The sequence below is a fragment of the Homo sapiens genome, chromosome 13 (genome assembly GCF_000001405.40).
Source record: "Homo sapiens chromosome 13, GRCh38.p14 Primary Assembly".
In the NCBI taxonomy this organism is placed as follows: Eukaryota; Metazoa; Chordata; class Mammalia; order Primates; family Hominidae; genus Homo; species Homo sapiens.
Genome location: NC_000013.11, coordinates 77,296,226 through 77,315,007, shown reverse-complemented (window position 1 = coordinate 77,315,007; position 18,782 = coordinate 77,296,226). Strand labels below are relative to the sequence as shown.

The 18,782-nt window shown below is 35.4% G+C and overlaps 1 protein-coding gene across 1 annotated transcript in view; it reads left to right on the top strand.

The window, feature by feature from the left end:
* The window catches only part of MYCBP2 (MYC binding protein 2), a 282,438-nt gene that overhangs the window by 12,087 nt on the left and 251,569 nt on the right, over positions 1–18,782 (top strand). The window contains exon 2 of the mRNA NM_015057.5: positions 18,334–18,409. Coding sequence (NP_055872.4) covers positions 18,334–18,409 — 76 coding nt within the window. The remainder of the gene's footprint in view (positions 1–18,333; positions 18,410–18,782) is intronic.

Genomic DNA, 18,782 nt, shown 5'->3' with positions numbered 1-18,782 from the left:
CCATAGCATTCTTTCATTATCCTTTAAGGTCTATGGGATCTCTGATAATAACTCCCTCCTTTTTTAAAAAAAATATTTTTTTAAGAGCAGTTTTAAGTTCATAGCAAAATTGAGAAGAGGGTACAGAGATTTTCCATCTATCCCTTTCCCCCACTCACGCATAGCCTCATCCATATCAACATCCCCCACCAGAGTGGCATTTTTGTGGCCATTGTTTAACCTCCACTGACACATCATAATCACTCTCAAGTCCAGAGTTTACATTAGGGTTCACTCTTGGGGTTATACATTTTTTGGTTCAGAAAAATGTATAATGACATGTATTTATCACTGTAGTATCATACAGAATATTTTCACTGCCCTCAATATCATCTGTGCTCCACCTATTCCTGTTTCTCTGCCACTCAACCCCAGGTAATCACTTACTGTCTCCATAGTTTTGCCTTTTCCAGAATGTGCTATAGTTGAAATCATACAGTATGTGGCCTTTTCAGATTGGTTTCCTTCACTTAGTAATGTGCATTTAGGTTCATTCTTTTTTTGTGTATGAGACTTGATAGCTCATTTCTTACCACTGAATAATCCACCATGTAGATGTACCAGAATTTGTCTGTTCACCTACAATTTGGTGAGTTTGGAGGACAATTGGGTTGCTTCCAAGTTTTGGCAATTATGGATAAAGCTGCTCTAAACATCTGTGTGCAGGTTTTTGTGTGGACATACATTTTCTTTTTTAGAAATTGACAAATGACATTGTATGTTTTTATAATGTACAGCATGATGTTTTGAAGTACATATACATTGGGGAATGGTTAAATCTAGTGGACATGTTTTCAGCTCCTTTGGGTTAATACCAGAAACAGTGATTGTGGGATCACGTGCTAAGAGTAGGTTTAGTTTTTGTAGGAAATCACCAAACTGTCTTACAAAGTGGCTGTTTCATTTTTCATTTCCACCAGCAATAAATGAGAGTTCCTCTTGCATTAAAGCCTCGCCAACATTTGATGTTGTCTATGTTCTGGATTTTGGCCATTCTGATAGGTGTGTAGTAGAATCTCGTTTTTTTTTTTCATTTCTCTGATGACATATGATGTAGAACATCTTTTCATAACGCTTATTTGCCATCTATATATCTTGTTCGGTGAGGTGTCTGTTAAGGTCTTTGCCCCATCTTTAATTGAGTTGTTTGTTTTCTTATTGTTAGAGTTTTGAGAGTTCTTGGTATTCTGTGAGGGTGTAACTGAGGAGATGGGGAAAAAAGTTCTTGGTATTTTGGATAACAGTCCTTTATCAGATGTGTCTTTTGCAAATATTTTCTTTCAATCTGTGCCTTGTCTTCTCGTTCTCTTGGCATTGTCTTTTGCAGAGCAGAGGTTTTTAATTTTAGTATTCAGCTTATTAATTATTTCTTTAATGGATTGTACCTTGGTGTTGTAGCTAAAAAGTTATCTAGGTTTTCTCCTGTGTTATTTTCTAAGAGTTTTATAGTTTTGCATTTTACATATAAAGTCCGTTTTCCATTTTGAGTTAATTTTTGTGAAGGGTGTAAGGTTTGTTTCTAGATTCATTTCTTTGTATGTGATCCAAAGAACCAACTTTTGGCTTTCTTAATTTTCTCTATTATTGATCTGTTTTCTATTTCATTGGCTTTTCCATCATCATTGTAATTTATTTCTTTCTACTTTCTTTAAGTTTACTTTGCTGTTCTAATTTCTTAAGGTGGAATCCTAGGCCATTGATTTTAAATTTTTCTTCCAATATAAGTATTTAAAGCTATGAATTTTTATCTGGGCTGTGCTTTAGTTACATCCCACAAATTTTGACTGCTATATATTTGTCATTTAGTTCAAATTATTTTCCAATTTATTGTTTAAAATTATTACAACTTTCAGATATGGTGTTTTCTTACATATTAATATATTATTGTTATTACTTTCTAATATAAACCTTGTATGATTTTGATCTTTAACATTTATTGAGATTTGTTTTATTGCCCAGGATATGTTCTGTCTTGGTGATTGTATTATACACACTTGAGAAGAATGTGTTCGGTCATCTTTGGACATGAAGTTCTATAAATGTCAGTTAAAGTTGGATGATAAGTGTTGTTTGGATGTTTATGTTTTTATATTTAAAGTTTCTCCTCTTAGGCAACTAGTATAGAACCTTGCCCTTAAAAAAAGAAATCCACTGTCAATCTTTGCCTTTCAATTGGAGTGTTTAGATTATTAATATTTAATATGATTAATTATTGACATATTTACCATATCAACAGTGATAGGTCTGCCACTTTATTGTCTTCTGTTTCTCTTTTTTTGTTCCTTTCTTCCTCCTTTTCTGCTTCTTTGGGATTATATTTTGGGATTATTGGGAGTATTTCATTTTAGTTGCTCTATTGGTCTTTTCAGCAATATCTCTTTGTATTTACTTTTTTTATGCCCTAGGGATTACAGTATGCATACCTAACTTTTTACAGGCTACTTAGGGTTATTATTATACTAATTCACTTAAAACACAGAAACCTTGCAACCCTACAGATCCTTTTATTCTCCCCTCCCCCAGAGACCTTTATGTTATAGTTGTCATGCATACTATACTTGGCAAACATCACCAAACAATGTTATAGTTTTTGTTGTCGACAGTCATGTGTACTTTATAGAACTTAGAGGAAAAATCTAGTATTTTGTGTTTTCCTATATATTTATTGTTTCTATTGCTCTTTCTTCATTCCTGAAGATGCAGCATTTCCTTTCAGCCTAATGTTGACCTTAGCTTTTCTAGCAGATCAGTCTGCTGGGGATACATTCTCTTTGTTTTTCTTTGAGAATGTATTTATTTTACTTTCATTCCTAAAGGATATTTTAGGTGGATATATAATTCCGAGTAGATGCTTGCTTCCTTGAGCACCTCAATGATGCCATTTAGCTGTCTTTTCACTTCTCTGATTTCTGGTGAAAAATCTTTGTAATGTAAACCTTATTCCCCTCTGTGTGGTGTGTAATTTTTTTCTAGCTGCTTTCAAAAATTTTTTCTTTGTTTTTGGTTTTCAGCAGCTTAATTTGATGTGTATCTAGTCATTTTCTTTAAGTTTATCCTCTTTGAAGAGTACTGAGCTTCTCAAATCGGTAAATTTTTGGCTTTCACTAAGTTTAGAATGTTTTCTACCATTGTGTCTTTCTTCTGACCTTACAAAATTCTAGTGGCAATTATGATAAAACTTTTGAGATTGTTTCACAGGCCTCTAACTGTTCAGTCTCCTATCAATTTTTTTTCTCTGTTTTTCAGATGAGGTTATTTTTATTGATACACGTTCAGGTTCACAGACTCTTTTCTCCCATCTCCATTTTCTTATTGAGTCCAACCAGTGAACTTTTTATGTATTGTTTATTTCACTTTTAACATTTACATTTGGTTCTTTAAAAAAAAAACAAAAAAAAAAAAACAAAAAAAAACTTCTCTTTCCCTGCCGAGAACCTCTTTCCATTCCATTCAGTTGTCCTTGTCTTTCCTCAATGTAGCATATTTATAGTGGTTGCCTTCCAGTCATTGTTGGATAATTACAACATGTGCATCGTCTTAGGGTTGGCATCTTTTGATTGTCTCTTCCCTTGAAGTTGTTCACATTTTTCTTGTGTTTTGCATTGTGAGAATTTGGGATTGTATCTTGGACATGGTTAATGTTATGTTTTGTAAACTCTAGGGTTTATTATAATTCTCTGGAGGATGTTGTGTTTTTTGTTGTTTAGGGGATCCCTTTCTGTGTCTTACTCTTTTTCAGGACTTCTTACCCATTTTCCATCATATCAGTTTCTTTTCTCAGTTCCTCTGGCCAGAAAGAGTTTTAACTTGGAATTTTAACTTTTGGGTTGTAGCCCTGTAATGCAGTGATCTCTTCCTGGCCTTCAGGCAAAGCTGTTAGTGAAAGGAGAAAAACAACCAAACTGGGAAATTTACTCTTCTGTGAATCACTTTTCCAAGTTTTGACTCCCCTCCAGAATTTGCTTTTATTTGTTTTTCAGAGTCCTGAAGTACTTTTTTTGTCTTTTTAAAAATTTTGCCCAAAGTAGTTGTAAACAGTGGGGAAAATAGGCTGTTTTGGGGTTTATGCCAATGTACTGGAACCAGAACTCTCTTATCTGGCTTTAAAAAAAGATTTTCCCTTTTATTGATTTTTAGCAGCTTGACTGTATTGTACCTAAATATGGTGTGTGTGTGTGTGTGCATGCGCACGCACACACGTCTGTGTCTCTGTGTGTGTGTATCCTGCTTGGTATCCTTTCAGTTTGTTAGATCTGTGTGATGTCAATTTTTATTTAACTTGCAAATTTTGGCCTTTATTTCCTCAAATATTATTTCAGACTCAATTTCTTATTTCCTTCTGGGAATCCAATTATATATATATGATACTGTTTGATATCATATGTGTCTATAATCATATATATGACATATTTATATGACCAGATAGTAAATAACTTAGACTTTATGGGCCATAGAGTCTCTGTTGCAACCATGCAGCTCTGTTCTTTAGTTTGAAAGCAACCACAGACAATATATATAAATGGATAAGCATGGCTGTGTTCCAATATAACTTTATTTACAAAGATAGACAGGAAGCTGTTTTTGGCATGTAGACTATAGTTTGCTGACCCCTGAGTAGGTGGTAATCGTTGCTGGAGCTACATTGTGAATTCAGGGAATCAAAGAAGTGCAAAACAGAAATGTTGGAAATAACTACAATGTAGGTAGCGGGGTGCATAAAAATGAGGAGGTAGGAGATATGGCTAGAAAGATATGTTAGGACTAGGTTATTATGTTCCCTGTATTGCTTTATTTGAAAATAGTATGGAACAATCATAGGGTATTTTTTGTTTGTTTTCTTTTTTTTGTCTGTTTTTCTGAGACGGAGTCTCACTCCGTTGCCAGGCTGGAGTGCAGTGGGGCGATCTTGGCTTACTGCAACCTCCGCCTCCTGAGTTCAAGAGATTCTTCTGCCTCAGCCTTCTACATAGCAGGGACTACAGGCACCCACCACCACGCCCAGCTAATTTTTGTATTTTTAGTAGAGATGGGATTTCACCATCTTGGCCAGGATGGTCTTCATCTCTTGACCTCGTGATTTGCCCGCCTCGACCTCCCAAAGTACTGAGATTACAGGCGTGAGCCACTGCGCCCAGCCAATCATAGGTTTTTAAGCAATGTAATGGTAGAGTTAAACTTTCAATTTATAAAGATAATCTCTAGTAGTGTTATAGAGGATGAATGAAAAGGAGCAGATCTGCAAAGCAGGGCTACCTTTAAAGAGACAGTTGCAGTAACTCTGACAAGTGAAAATACTGAGAAAAGATAATGGGAATAGATGGAATAAAGTGGATTTAATGATATATTTAGCAGGTGACTAGATCTCAAGTGCAAATATAATAATGATTTTCATCTAGATAGAAAGGGAGGAAGAGCTAGTTTCTCAAGAGTCCATTCTTGGGATTCTTCTCTCTGAATTTTCTTCTTTGGTTGTCTCAGGCTTATGATTTCAGATATGCATTTGACTTCCTGGTCTGTGGTTTTTAGGTAAAACCTCTTTTCTTAAGTTCTAGCCTGTATTTTGAAAAGTCTACTGCTAGGATTCTCTCAGTCCTGTTCAGATACATTATGTTCAGTATATTCAAAGTCTCCTCGTGAACATACTGTCACTCACAAACTGCCTCTTTTCCCTTAGGCCAGTGAAACCGAAGTCTGAGATAGGTTCTTGAGGTTGGCAATAAGAAATTATAATGAGCCAACACCCACTCACTTCACCTCCTTTTTTCAGGAGGCAGGGAAAAGTGGGAAAGTGAGGCTGGACATGGGAGTATTTAGAAATAGTGTTTAATAATGTTTAAAGGGCAAGAAGGAAGGCAGTAGCTTAAGGAAGGAGACAAATAATTAATCTTTTGGATTAGATAACCTGTAGGAGATGTTCTTAGTGTCCTAGCCATATCCCTTTGGCATCCATTTGCATACTGTCTTCTGCAAACATCTATGACTATCTGCCTGAAAAGAAACACACTTGGCCTGTGTGCAGGGCAACTCACATGCGCCAGAGAGTTAATGCCTTCAGAAAAACTTTCCACCAGTGATGGATGGGGAGTTGGTAGATAAATACCTTTGTCTCACCTGCATTTAGGATAACTGAGCCATGTTTTCTGCTGTCTACCAGAGTTCTCCACTGGTTCAGGCCCTAGTTCCCCATCAGGGTAACTGGCTTCATAATATGTCCTTTCTTGACTTCCTTCTTTTCCCTGTTTTACTTTTGTTTTCCCTACTGGTGTTTTTCCTGGGATCACCTCTCAAAATAACTACTGCACTTGAATTCTTGAATTGACGTCTGCTTCTGGGGAAACCCAAACCAAGGTAGACATTTGAATTTGGCATGGGAATAATAATAAAAATGTGTTTAGCACTTACTAAATACCAGGCATAATTCTAAGTGTGACATCATCCAGTGGGAGAGGTACTGTTTTCACCCTATTGTATGGATGAGAGAACTGAGGCACAGAGAGATTAAAGTAATACCAAGATCACAGTGCTGGTAAATGACAGAGCTTGTATTTGAACCCAAGTCATTTGTTTCTAAATTCTGTACTCTTAACCTATCTTGACATAGCAGGCTGAAGGAAAAGGGCAAGGATAGTAAAAAAGAGAGAGAGAATGGGAATAATTAATAGAGTAAGGCCCTGGGTTAGAGATCATTTCAAGGTGGGTGGAAGAAAAGCAAAGGGAGTACATTTGTAATGGTGTCTCTATTTTATTGGTTAAATAGATGGTTAGATTCTCTGCTCTGAGTTGATGGGTAGGGGAGGGATTTTGAAGTAGCTGGAAAGGTTCTAGATTTTTATGGTAGATGTACCTTGATAGAGAACTTAACTGGCTCTAGACCAGCAGTCTAATGATGTTCAGTAACTCCAATAGCTATTATTGTTTAGGGTTGTTATAGCTTATTGAACAAGGTTTGTAACTAACCAGTATAGAAGTGAATATAGAACATGAGCAGATAGCTCACATTAGAAGTGATATATGTAGTAAAGACTTAAGGGACAGGAAGAGGAAGAAAAAGGAGCCAGTAAAGAAGACTGAGAAGGAACCACCATCAGAGGTAGAAGGAACACTAAAGTAGAGGTTCTAGAAGCTGGCGGGACAGGGGGCAGGGATGTAAAGAAGTAGGCACTGTTTGGTAGTTATCGTATGTAGGAGAATGTGAAGGATAAAGACTGAAGATGGGCAGTTGAATTGGCTACTAGAAAGTTTGTGGTATTGAGAAGTCTCATAGACTTGCATGAGTTTGATAGTAAGGTGTTAAAAAACTTCAATACAATGAAGTTTTTTTTTTTTTTTTTTTTTTTTTTTTTGAGACAGGGTCTCACTTTGTCATCCAGGCTGGGGTGCAGTGGCATGACCATAGCTCAGTGCAGCCTCTAACTCCTGGACCAAAGCGATCTTCCCACCTCAGCCATCTGAGTAGCTGGGACTACAGGCACATGCCACCGTGCCTGGCTAATTTTTTTTTTTTTAATAGAGACGGGGTCTTGCTATGTTGCCCAGGCCAGGACCATTTTTTTCTTCAAGAAATTTAGTGATGAAGAGGGATAGAGGATTACTTAAACTTTTTTCCCCTTTTGAATTGGAGAATGACAGTAGGCCTCTAAGGTTAGAAACCACAGAAAAAAAGCATAAAGGGTAAACAAAGAGAGGGATGTATGGTTGAGCAAAATCTCAAGGATGGTGAATGAAATGGGATCTGGTGTATGAGAGGAAGTGCATACTTGGATAGAGTAAGAGCTGTCTCTTTTGGGATGGGGGAAGGAGGAAGTTTCAGATTTGAAAAGGTCTCAGGGACATATTTTTAGCCTTTTTATGTTTCTGTGAAGAATTCCAGATTCTTTTTCTGATCTGTTTTCTAGATCTTAAATTTTCTATTCAGCTGTGTCCTGTACACTTAAATCCACCTATGGAGTCTGTAGTGTCAGTTATTTTTCATGTCTAGTTTGATTTTTTTTCAAATGTGCTTGGTTGTTCCCCATTCCCTGCAGATATTTTAATGATAGTCTTTTATTTCTTTAAATTTGATACACATGTTCTTGTTGCAATCTTTCCGAAAATCCCACCATCTGAAGTCTATATAGGTGTCTTTCTGTTGCCTAGTTCTGCTGTTCTCACTCAGAGTGCCTTGTATCTCTGTGTTCTTAGTTATTTGCTTGCTCTCATTCCTCTTGTTGTTCTCTGAGGCCTGGGATGAATAGATTGTATTCATGATATCATTAGAAAGTGTTACAGTTTTACAATTGCTTCAAGGCTTGAGTTTCCCTGGCCTACCTAGCCTATGTTTACTTAAGAGTACAAATATGCATGAGGCAGGGTCTATAGCCAAAGCTTTTCAGAGAGTTCTCTTCCCCTCACTTATGCTCCCTTCCATATTCCCCTACCCTCTTTTCTTTTTCCTTCTGCTGCTCTGCCCATTGCCAAGGTAGCTTTATTTATAGTCCTCCCCCCATGTGAAGACTTCCAAATAAGATCAAGAGACTGAAGCTATATATAAGAAATCTGTTTTCATCTCTCCCCTAAATCAAGTTGAACTGTTAAAATCTCTTTCTTATTACTAATTAGCCGGCTAGGTTAAGTAAATAAAAGTTTTCTACTTAGTAATGAGATAACTATTCCTCCCTAATTTATTCATTGATGCTTGAACATGATAGGAGTATCATTACATTAATTACACAGAATGAATCTGGCTTCTATGGAAAAGCTTCAGTTTACATAAGGTGCTTCATAGATTGATTTTTAAAAGTTGGTCTTGTATCCAGTGACCTTGATAATTCCCTTGTTAATTCTTTATTTGTGGATTATTTTGTATTTTCTATAAATATAATTATCTACAAATAAAAAATGCTTTACTTTTAATTTTTAACCATTATGACTTTTATTTCATTTGCATCACTTACTGACCTTCAATATTGTGTTAACAGAAGTGGTGATAGTACAAATCCTTGCATTTTCCTCCTATGCCTAAGTGGAAATACTTAATTTTTCAACATTCAGTATAGTTGAATACACTGTTAAAAGTAGGTTTTTTATAGATAATCTGTATTAGATTAAGTAAAATCTGTTCCTGGTTCACCAAGGAGTTTCATCACTAGTGGTTGTTGAGTTTTAAAAATACTTTTTCTGTTTCTATTGAAGTGATCATATGTTTTGTTTCTTTTGTTCTGTTATTATATTGAATTATGTTGATTATGTATTTATTCTTTCCACATGTTGTTAGACAAAATTATTTGTAGGTAAATGGCTCTCTCTTTTTTTAAAAATAAAAGGGGTAATACACATACCATAAATTCACCCTTTTATACAACTTATTGGTTTCCAGTATATTCACAAAGTCATACAACTAAACATTTTTGTCTCTCCATAAATCCCAAAGCTATTAGCAGTCAGTTTCTATTCTCCTTTCTATCAGTTTTTGGCAACTACTACTTCCTGTTTTTATGAATTTGCCTACCTAGACATTACATATAAATGGAATTATACAATTTATGACCTTTTGTTGCCATTGTTTCTTTCACTTAGCATAATGTTTTCAAGGTTCATCCATGTTGTAGCATGAGTCAGTACTTCATTCTTTTTTTATGGGTAAACAACATTCTCTTATATGGAAGTGCTACACTTTATACATTCATTAGTTGGTGAGCATTTGGGTTGTTGCTATTTTTTGGCTGTGCAGTATTTTTGCTTCTATGTTCATAGGAGATATTGGTCTGAAATTTTTGTATTTTGAAATGTTCTCTTCAAATTTTGATATCAGAGTTATGCTTGTCTTATGAGTTGGGAAATGTTTCTTCTTTTTATATTGTCTAAAAGAGTCTAACATTGATAATGTTTGAAAGAACTACCAGTGAATTTTTAAAGTATTTGGAAGAATTCACCAACAAAGCCATCCGAGTCTAGAGTTTTCTTTGTGGATAGATTTTGATTAGGGATCCAGTTTTTTTTCAATATATAGAAGACTATTCAGATATTACATTTTTTTTCCCTTGTTTAATGTTGAGAAGTTACATTTTTTCAAGGAATTTATCCATTTTATTTGTCAAATTTATGGGCAGCATCTGTAGTGATGTCTCCTTTCTTATTTCTCATATTGGTAATTTGTGCTTTTACTTTTTTCCTGACCATTTTTGCTCTAGGTTTATTATATTTATTTCATTTTATTTTAAAATATTTGCTATATATTTAATTCACAAATAATTGTACTTATACATGGGGTATAATATGATATTTTGATACATGTTTACAATGTGTAATGATCAAATCAGGATAATTAGCATATTTATCACCTCCGACATTTATCATTTTATCATTTCTTTGTCATGAGACCATTCAAAATCCTCTCTTCTAGCTGTTTGAAGTTGTATAATACATTGTTGTTTATGATAGTCACCCTGTGGTGCTATATAACACTCAAACTTACTCCTACTTTCTAGCTCTGATTTTGCATCCATTAGCCAACCCCTGGCTACTCTTCAACAACTCTTCTACTTTCTACTTTTATGAGATCAACTTTTTTAGCTTCCACATATGAGTAAAAACATGCCATATTCATCTTTCTTTGCCTGGCTTCTTTAACTTAAGATAATGTCCTCCAGGCTCATCCACGGTGCTGCAAATGACAGAATTTTACTCTTTTTTAATCACTAAATGGTATTTCATTGTGTATATATATCACATTTTCTTTATCCATTCATCTGCTCATGGAAACGTAGGTTGATTCCACATCTTGGCTATTGTGAATAGTGTAGCAGTGAACATGGGAGTTCTGAATCTTTTCAACATACGGATTTTTTTCCTTTGGATATACACCCAGTAGTGGAATTGCTGGATCATATGGTAGTTCTGTTTTTAGTTTTTTCAGGAGCCTCCATTCTATTTTCCACAATGGTTGTACTAATTCACATTCCCATCAACAGTGTAGTTCTACTTTCTCCACATCTTCAATAGCATTTATTTTTTGTCTTTTTGTTATGTATACTAATCTTTTCAGAGAACCAATTTTTGGCTCCCTGATAACCTCTATTGAATGTCTGCTTTCCATTTCATTGGTATCTACTCTTATTTTTATTTCCTTTCTACTACATATTTTGCATTTAATTTGTGGTTTTCTTTCTAGCTTCTTGAGTTGTAAGTCTAGATAATTTACTTTCAGTGTTTTTTTTTTCAGTATATGCATTTATGTGTATGCAAAAGGAGATGCATTTTGTGGAAGTACTGCGTTAGCAGCATTCTACCGATTTTGTTATGTCAAATTTCATTTTCATTTTATGGAAAATATTTTCTGATTTCCATTGTGACTAGTTCTTTGACCCATAGTTTATTTAGAAGTCTTGTTTTTTTGATTGCCAAACATTTGGGAATTTCTTAGTTGTTTGTTTTTTTTTAATTTCTCGTTTAATTTTTCCATGACCAGAGAATTACCTTATCATTCAGTCCTTGGAAATTTGTTTAGACTTGGTCTGTGGTCCAGCATATTATCTATTTTGGTAAATGTTCTATATGCACTTGAAAAGAATATGTATTCTATTGTTGTTGGATATGTTTCTGTATGTATGCCAATTAGGTCAGGTTGATTAATCATGGTTTGTTTGTTTGTTTGTTTTGAGACGGAGTCTCGCTCTGTCGCCCAGGCTGGAGGACAGTGGTGTGATCTACGCACACTGCAACCGCCACCTCTCGGGTTCAAGCGATTCTCCTGCCTCAGCCTCCTGAGTAGCTGGGATTACAGGTGCGTGCCACCACGCCCGGCTAATTTTTGTATTTTTAGTAGAGACGGTATTTCACCATGTTGGTGAGGCTGGTCTCGAACACCTGACCTCATGATCCACCTGCCTTGGCCTCCCAAAGTGCTGGGATTACAGGCATGAGCCACCGCGCCTGGCCGATTAATCATGTTTTCAAGTTTTTCTATGTCAGTGCTGTTTTGGTCTCTACTTGTTCTATCAGTTACAGAGAGGTATGTTAGAACTTACTCTTTCAATTGTGGATTTGTATTTTCCCATTTAACTTCTGTCAATTTTACTTTATATATTTTGAAGCTGTGTTACTGGATGCATTCAAATTTAGGAGTGTTATGATTTCCTAATGATTTGACCCTTTTGCCATTTAGAAATGCTCTTTTCATTTCTTTTAATACTGTTGCCTTAAAAATTACTTTGTCAAATATTAAAATAGCCACTCCAACTTTTTTTGGGACACTGGAGAGTGTGCTTGAGATACATCTTTTTCTGTCCTTTTAGCATGTATCCTTTCATTTAAAATTATGATATTACAGTTATTAAAGGAAGACTTTCCTTCAGTATTTCTTGTAATATTGGTCTCTTGACAGTGAATTATGTCAGCTTTCATGGATCTAAAAACATCTTTATTTTTGTCTTCATTCTTACAGGATACTTTTAGAATCCTTTATGTGAATTATATCAGCTTTCATGGATCTAAAAACATCTTTATTTTTGTCTTCATTCTTAAAAGATACATTCTTAAAGGTTACATGATTCCAGGTTACTTTCCCCCACCTCTAACCCCCATCCCTCCACTCTACCACCTCCCCCTCCCCACCCCCCAGCCCTTTTCAACACAAAGAATGGAAACTATCAATTTTATTGTTCCTTTAAGCATATCTCTTCTCTGGCTGCTTTAAAGATTTTCTCTTTATGCTTTGCTTTTAGCAATATGACCATGCTGTGCCTAGGTATGCTTTTCTTTGGATTTTCCTGCTTAAAGTTCCCTGAGTTTCTTGAATCTCTCAGTTGATTTCTTTCTTCACTTTTGGGAAATTGTCAGTAATTATCTTGTCATATATTGCTTTTGTTCCATTCTTTTTTCTCTCTTTCTGGGATTCCAATTATATGAATATGAGACCATCTGACTTTGTCCCACATGTCTCGTTCTCTGTTTGGTTCATCCCATTTTTGTTTCCGTGATTGAATTCTGTTATTTATTTATTTATTTATTTTTGGCCTGTTTGCAAGTCTGTGAAACCTGTTTTTCTGTAACTTACTCTGCTTTTAAAATCATATGAGAAGTTCTTAATTTCAGATGTTTATTTTTCAGTTTCAGAATGTCCACTTGGTTCTTTTTTTATAAATTATGTTGAAAATTGCCAATTGCATTATTTTACACATATTGTTAATCTCTGCATCTCAGGTACTTGCCTCCTAACGTTAATATCTGGGTTTTCTGTGAGTCTGACTAATTTTCTGGTTTTCTCTTGATTATGTGTCTGCCACATATTTTGCTTCTTTTGATGTCCCTTAATGTGTTTACTTAGTGTCCCCGAACTAGACTAACACTGTGTATGAATGAACATGATTTTCTTTCAGATCATGTGTTTTCTCCTAGAGAGGTGTGCTCTTTGCTGTGTCAGACAGATAGAATGAGGAGTTTGATTATCTCAATCCAGTGAGGGATTACATAGACCGCTCCCTCCCTCTACTAGGATTCTGTCTTCTTACGGAAGTTTTCTCTTCCCTTTTGACCCAGCCTCTTTTTTTTTTTTTTTTTTTTTTTTTTTGAGATGGAGTCTTGCTCTGTAGCCCAGGCTGGAGTGCAGTGGCGCGATCTTGGCTCTTGGCTCGTCACAACCTCTGCCTTCCAGGTTCAAGCGATTCTCCTGCCTCCGCCTCCCTAGTTGCTGGGATTGCAGGCGTGCACCACCATACCCAGCTAATTTTTTGCATTTTTAGTAGAGACGGGGTTTCACCATGTTGGCCAAGCTGGTCTCGAACTCCTGACCTCAAGTAATCTGCCCGCCTCAGCTTCCCAAAGTGCTGGTATTACAGGTGTGAGCCACCGCGCCCAGCCTTGACCCAGCCTCTCTATCATCCTTCAGTGTTCCAGTTACATTTCTGAGGAGATATACCACTGGGAAAGCTGTCTATGTATCTAGAGCTTTTCTAGATTCCAGTCTGTCATTTCAGCCCACATGGGCATCTAAAGCACTACTAGTCTCTTGTTTCCTTTATTAGAGTTCCTCTGCTTAAGCCAAGCTCAGTCCTTACTCATGCCCAAGCTCTGCAGTTACCCCCATGGAAGAACAAGCCAGTGGTCTCAGCTGCCTTGGAAGTGCTCTTCCACCTCTGGATTTTTTGTTCTTTTAGTCCTCATTGCTTCCACAGCTTTCTTACGTTGGTTAGTCTGGTCTTTGAAGCAGGCGCATTGGCCTGCCTCCTATCTAATCACTTACTTTAGGGAAGTGGAAGTCAGAAGTTTATCTTTATAAAAAGAAAAGGCAGATAATTTTAGGAGTGCTTATTTTTATAAGCATAGTGATGTTTTGAATAGTTTTATCTGTGTTGCATACTCATAGCTATAAAGCATTTTTTTCCTTTCTGATATGGGCCTGTTTATCAAAATATGCCCCAGATCTGGGGCGAGCAAACAAAGACCCACAGACCAATGAGGCCCAATTCTTGTTTTTATGTAGCCTGTGAACTAAAAGTGGTTTTTACATTTTTAAAAGGTTGAAAAGAAAATAAAAAAGGAAGAGAATGTTTTGTGAGCATTATGTGAAATTTGGAAGTTTTATTGTAATATATGCACACTCCTCTCTTTATGTGCTGCCGATGGCTGCTTTCGTGCTGTAACCATTGAGTAGTTGCAACAGAGATCTTGTGACTCACAAAGTGTAAAATATTTGCTGTGTGGCCCTTTGCAGAAAAAATTTCCCTATTCCTGCTTTACATCACAGGCTCAGGAATTTTTTATTTCTTATTACTAAGAGAAATTAAGCAAAAGATTGAAACCATTTTATTCCAGAAGTTCTGTAAATTTGGATTTATTAAAATCTTAGCATTTTAGAGGATTTACAAGGAACCTCAGTCTCCTTCATCTCTTTATTTTGCAAATGAAGCAGATTTGAGTGAAAGAGGTTTTAAAATTATGACTACATTTTTGGTATAAAGTATACTCAGTAATAAGCTGATAGAGAAACTATTGATCTATATCACTGAATAATTTGCAAAATTGATTTGTTCTTATATTGCAGAAGTATTTGATTTTTCTTAAGCAGTGTAGCTCTTAAGAAAATATTTTTGGAATTTTTAAAGTAAATATTTTAAGATAAATATTTAAGGCATGTTAATAGCCTTTTCCTTTTATTGTCAACCACAATTCTTTCAAATCTGATGGATATGAAGTTATTTTTGTGAGAAGACTGAAAGTCTTACAGGACCAATTCCAGACATTCTTCATTAAGCTTCGATTGATTTAGAATATAAAGCCCTAAATCATCAGAAATTCCAAGTTAAATTGTTAATGTGTAAGACTGGTTTTTAGAGTTTCTCTTTTATATTCCCATCCTCAGATATTGTGAAAGGTTTAAGCTTAGTTCTCAAATATAGAGATATAATGGTGTGTTATATTACTAGCAAATGGCATTTTTAAATTTTCCAATGTTGAATACAAATTTTGTTTATATAATTTTCAACTTATTACTGGCTCTTTTAGAAAACTTCTACCTCTTCCTCTGCAAACCAAATCAACAACAACAACAAAAAACACAGTAAAAGTAATTTATAATTAATTTGGGAATAGCTAGTTCTTGGATGGCCTGTACTTAAGAATTGATGGGTTCAGATTCATAAGAATTGTTACAACCAATTAAATGCCATCATGCATAGAAAGAAGTATTTTAGAAATGTACGTAAAGTCATTTGAACTTTAAAGAAGTTCCATTAGATAAAACAGACACAAACATTGGTCTCTAATTGGGAAAATTTGAGTCAGTTATAACTTGTCTTTAGGAAATCTATCTGAATTTGGATTTATATATTCTACTTCTCTGAAAATTGGTTTGGAATAAATTTTGATGCTTTTATAAGTTATATAGAAGGGGCTAACCTCTTAGTAGTTATGTATTCCTGTTGCTCAAATACCTGATTTCACTCAGGTAATCTTTAATATAAAGGAAAGTTGGTTTCCTAAATAGTATGAAGAATACGTATTGTGTTTTATTTATTTATTTGTTCATCTGATATTTATTGACCATCCCTGATGCTTCACATTGATGCAGGTGCTGAAAGTACACAGTTGAAATAGACATTCATCATGCCCTCACAATGCTAGTAGTTGAGTAGATTCTATAAGCAGGTATATGTATTTATGTTTAGCATTTGGCACTGTTAATCTTTCTCTTTCTCTTTACTTTTATGGCATACTATCTTGTGGAAATCTCATCCACATACATAGTTTCCATGACCTCCTTTGTACTAAAGTCTGTGCAAAATAATCCCAAGGATAACTCCTTAGTGGGCCTTTCTGGCTAGAGATGCTTTAAATGCACTCATGTCGATACCATAGATGTAGATACCTTATTTTAATCTCTGAGTAAGGCATGTAGCTGTAGCTCTCAACTTCCTCATTTCTCCCCTTCCTCACTCTTTCTCTTATACTTTCTCTTTCTCTTAAAATACTCGTTGAGTACTATATCCCAGGAACTTTTCTGGACAGAGGCTAGAGTAGTGAACAAGAAAGACAGGGCCCCTGCACTATTGGAGCTTTTAGCTTGGCGAGGAAGCAATACATTAAACAGTTCCATACATAATTACAGTTATTGGCTGTACAATGAAACATAAATATACGATGAATGAGAGTGTATATTAGGGAAACTCATCCAGTGTGGGGAGTTAGACTTAAGTGACACTTATGCTGAGACCTCGAAGATAAGTAGTGGTTAGCAGGAGAAGACGTGGTAGAGAATTTCAGGAAGAGGGAAAACCTTTGTGAAAGTTGTGATGAAGCTTAACAGGTTCAGACAACTGAAAGAATATCCTTCTTGCTGGAGTATGATGAATCAGGTGGAAAAGAATGCAAAATGAGGCAGGAGAGATTGATGGAGGTCAGTTATTGGAAGAGGATCTTTTAAACGATGTCGGTGCTTTTGGACTTTATCTTAAGAGAATTGAGAAGATACTGATTTTTAAGCTGGGGAATTATCCACTCAGGTTTGTGTCTTTAAAAGTTGAGTTAGGTTCCTATGTGAAGAATGGATTGAAGGGTATGGATGTGCAGAAATGAGTTAAGCTTTTGCAGTGGTCCAGGTAAGAGGTGGTGGTAACCTAGCTTATTAGCATTGCAGCAGTAAAGATGGTGTGGACAGATTCAATAACTGTTTATGAGATATAATTGACCAGATTTTGTGATTATTTTGATTTCAAGAGTGAAACTGAAGGCAATGTCAAGGATAACATTTTCATCTGCTTGTTACTCTTGTCTATTTGTTGACATTTTGGTATTTTGAAGTTACACATCTTCAAAATCAAACCCATTACTTTTTTTCCAGCAGGCTAACTCTTCCTTCTAACTTCTCTATTTTTAAGAGTGACATTGTCTACCTCCAAGTGACCTAGGCTTAAAATTTTTCTCTTTTGTCACTGCTGTTACTAAATTAGTTACCAAATCTTAAGGACTTGACCCCTTCAGCATCTGGAACAACCTCCTCCCCTTCGTTCTCCCTGCATTCCCTCTTCCCCCCGACTTCATCCTTTTTTCTTTATTACAGCAGTAGTATCCTCTTGTTAGATCACTAAACTGTGCTTTCCATTCAAGTCTCTGAGCTCCTTGGGGACAAGAACTGTCTTTTTCATTTTGTGTCTTTACTACTTTGCATCTCAGCATGGTGAACATAAAACATATTAAGTGAAATGAAAATAAAATGTTTTCCTTGCTTCTTGTTTCTTGCACCATAATTCTTATTCTTTATCACATATTTTTTTCTGTTTCTCAAAAGTTATTCAGGGGCTTCCTTTTGCTTAAAGAATAATTTGGTCTTAGGACTATGTGATAATGAAGTATCCAGACTGGCTGCTGGAGACATAAAGTATATGAGCTGGGGATTTTCCTATAGTAGTTTAGTAAAAAGTGGCTCTTAAGTCCCTTTGCACCGTAGCCCTCACTACCAAAAAGAGCAGATTTTTTTTCTTGGAAACATCACTGACATTTGTAAACATCCCACTATGGATAAAGTATAAAACACTTCATTTGATGCCTTTTTAATGTTTTAAGTTTATGTTTTTGCAGAATTCAAATTTGTATTATCATTTAATATATATTGTATATTGCTTAGCTGCCCCATGTTATCTTCTCAATAGCTACTTTATATGTTAGTATCTTATATGTGTATGTAAAGTATATTGTTTCACATAAAGAAATTTTGCAAGAAAAAGATCCAAATGTCTACTTTGGAAATACCCATTTTTGATAGCTTTGTATGTCCTAATATGAACATTCATATTTTTTTCCCATTTTTCTTTTAATATTTAGGAATAAGAAAATTTTAAATAAGAAGAAATTGAAAAGAAAACAGAAGAGCAAATCAAAAGTGAAGACAAGAAGCAAGGTAAAGCTGCTGGTAATTGATAAGGAATAGGACTTTTTCATATGGTGATTTGAATAAAAATGCCAAGATTAAAAAATATAATTAAACCATTTTATTAGTATGTGCTGAAGTAATTTTGTAAAAGCCCTTTATGATTTGGTTCCTCTTTTAGTTTCATCTTTCTTTTGGGTGTTTCTTTTCTTTCTTGCCTTTTTTTTTTCTTTTTTGAAACAGGGTCTTGTTTTGTCACCCAGGCTGGAGTCCAGTAGTTTCCTGGGCTCAAGTGATCCTTCCACCTCAGCCTCCTGAGTAGCTGGGACTACAAGTAAATGCCACCACAACCAGCTAATTGTTAAATTTTTTGTAGAGACAGGGTCTCACGGTATTGGCCAGG